The 3,015-nt window shown below is 40.3% G+C and overlaps 1 annotated feature.

Moving 5' to 3' along the window:
• Window positions 1,551-2,750: an enhancer, noted in NCBI's record as "BRD4-independent group 4 enhancer chr8:54055436-54056635 (GRCh37/hg19 assembly coordinates)". NCBI's record gives its function as "activates an origin of replication core promoter dependent on BRD2, P300/CBP, MED14 and CDK7 cofactors, and independent of BRD4, by STARR-seq in HCT116 cells {active_cell/tissue: HCT116}" and the evidence as "EXISTENCE:reporter gene assay evidence [ECO:0000049][PMID:35650434]".

The following is a 3,015-nucleotide window of genomic DNA, read 5'->3' as shown; positions in this document are numbered from 1 at the left end:
TAACAAAAGGCAGGCAAATAAATTGTTCTGCTCTAAATTTAATATTTATGTAACCAATATTGATTGATAAGGAACTTTTTAAAAACTTTAATATTTTCTTTATTACAGAAGAAAACAATGTTGTTCTGTAATAAAGAACAGTGCCTTTACTCAGCCATTCTCTTTATCCTCTGTGACAACTTATTTTTACTGGGTTTCTTTTAACAGCTCAGAGTTGGATTTTTCTTTTTGCTCTTCTTTATCATGTATTACTATCTTTACTAGCAAATGAAAGATTGTATCACATTTTTAGTGCTGTAACTGTTACATTTCAGTCTTACCTTGGACTTTTAAGCAATCTAAAGAAATATTTGCTCAAATGGCTTTATGAAAAATGGAATGAGCGATAACACTTGTCCTCTCGTTAGGTTCAACAGTTTTTAAACGTGAAATCCTAACAGTGAAAGAACCATTGCTAGCCCCCATGTCCTTCCCCAAGTGAGGGTCATATTCCGAAACAGAGACCATGAAACTTTACCACATTGGGAGAAAACTGTACATAGGGTGCTCAAAAGCCCTCAAGGCTCTTGCACAGACTTCTTAGAGATCCCACATGGTTCCAAATATTAGAGAAATGTGTGGAGTTAAAGGCTCAGGATTTGGCGTGTAAGATAACCTCAGGTAGGGAAGAATTCATTCAGTGTTTCCTAGGTTTAAATATCACCCCAGCATCTCTACTCTCTGGCACTACAGCTTCACTTATCATCTGGTTTCACCCCACTCTGACATCATTTCCTGGGTGTTTGACTGGGTTTAGCAGAATGACATTGCTGAGTGCCTGGCCTCAATTCTTATTTACCACCTCAGTTTACCACCAGATACTATCTTCCATGACCAACCTGGGGGGAGCTTGATTAATGTGACACTTGATTTTGGCATCCTTGAGCTTGTTCTGAGCCACAATTAATACAGCTATCATAGCTCAATAAAAGAGCTCAATTTCTTCTAACGTCACCCCCCTAGAGCCTGTGTCTAAAGTGGAAGTCTCTGTACACCCATATTTTTATAACTTGGGACCTGTGGACATGGAAAGAAATCTGCTGACACAGGAGTCCATGGACCTCAATAAAGAAACACTGTAAATTTCAGTCATCACTTGACACCAACAATATTGTGATCTTGTTATAGGTTGAACTGTGTTTCTCCAAAATTCATATGTTGAAATCTTAAGCCCAAGCACCCCAGAATGTAACCTTGTTTGGAAATAAGGTAATTGCAGATGTAATTAGTTAAGATAAAGTCATACTGGAATAGGGTGGGCTCCTAATCCATATGACTGATGTCTCTATTCTAAATAAGAGGGAAATTTGGGCGCAGATTCACATGCAGACAGAATACCATGTGAAGATTGGAACTATGCAGCCATGGGCCCAGAACTACTAGAAGCTAGGAGAGAGACCTGAAAAATGTCCTTCCCTACACCTTCAGAAGGAGGATAAACTTTCCAACACCTTGATTTTGGACTTCTGACCTTCAGAACTGTGGGATAATATTTTTTTTGTTCTAAGCCATGCAATTTATGCTATTTTGCTATGGAATCCTCAGAAAATTAATACAGAACTCAAATGCAAAGTGAGACAAAGAAATTACATAATACAGATTGAGTATACCTTGTCCAAAATGCTTGGGCCAGAAATGTTTCAAATTTCTATTGTTTTATTTTAGAATACTTGCATATACATAATGAGATGCCTTGGAAATGGGATCCAAGTTTAATCATACAATTATTTGTGTCTCATATACACCTTATAAATAGGTTGAAGTTAGGATTTTCTGAAATATTTAAAATAATATTTGTGCATAAAATAAAGTTCTGGCTATGAACTGTTACAAGGTCATATGTGAAATTTTCCACTTGTGGCATCATGTCAGCACTCAAAACCTTTTGGATTTTGGAGCATTTCAAATTTTAGATTTTGGGATTAGGTATGCTCAACCTGTAGTTGTAAGAGGTGAAGCCACCTGGACTTCTGGGTTGGGTGGAGACTTGGACAACTTTTCTGTCTTACAAGAGGATTGTAAAATGCACCAATCAGCACTCTGTAGCTAGGATTGTAAAACGCACCAATCAGTGCTCTAGAGCTAACTAGAGGCTTGTAAAATGCACCAATCCATGCTTTGTAAAAATGCACCAATCTAATTGTCATGACTAGCTATAGGTTTCTAAAATAGACCAATCAGCACTCTGTAAAATGGACCAGTCAGCACTCTGTAAAATGGACCAATCAGCACTCTGTAAAATGGACCAATCAGCACTCTGTAAAATGGACCAATCAGCAGGATGTGGGTGGGGACAAATAAGGGAATAAAAGCTGGCCACCCCAGCCAGCAACAGCAACCTGCTCGGGTGCCCTTCCGTGCTGTGGAAGCTTTGATCTTTTGCTCTTCACAATAAATCTTGCTGCTGCTCACTCACTGGGTCCGCACCACCTTTAAGAGCTGTAACACTCACCGCGAAAGTCCATGGCTTCATTCCTGAAGTCAGCGAGACCACCAACCCACTGGAAGGAACAAACTCTGGATACATCTTCGTGATTACAAAGGGACTATTGCCAACTGGTGAATACCACTGGACCCCTTTCACTTGCTATTCTGTCCTATTTTTCCTTGGAATTTGGGGGTTAAACACTGGGCACTTGTCAGCCAGTTAAAAGTGACTAGCATGGCCACCCAACTAAAGACACGAGTGTCAGGCTTTCTGGGAAAGGACTCTCTAACAACCCCTGACTCTTTGGAGTTGATAGCATTGGTTTGCCTGGAACCAGCTTCTGCTTTTCCTGTACTGGAACCAGCTTCTGCTTTTCCTGTACTTCCGGGCTGAGCTGAGGGTTGACAGAGAGGAAAGCCATTCAGCTCTGGGGTCCAACAAAAAGTTGGTTGACCCTGTAGCCATGAGAGAAACTCTGAAAGTCACATTGCCCAAGTGAGACTCACCCATCTATCCTATCTATCCTGATGCTTGCCTCCTGGGTCCTA

This window comes from Homo sapiens, chromosome 8 (assembly GCF_000001405.40).
Source record: "Homo sapiens chromosome 8, GRCh38.p14 Primary Assembly".
Lineage (NCBI taxonomy): Eukaryota > Metazoa > Chordata > Mammalia > Primates > Hominidae > Homo > Homo sapiens.
This window is presented reverse-complemented; position numbering and strand designations above follow the sequence as displayed.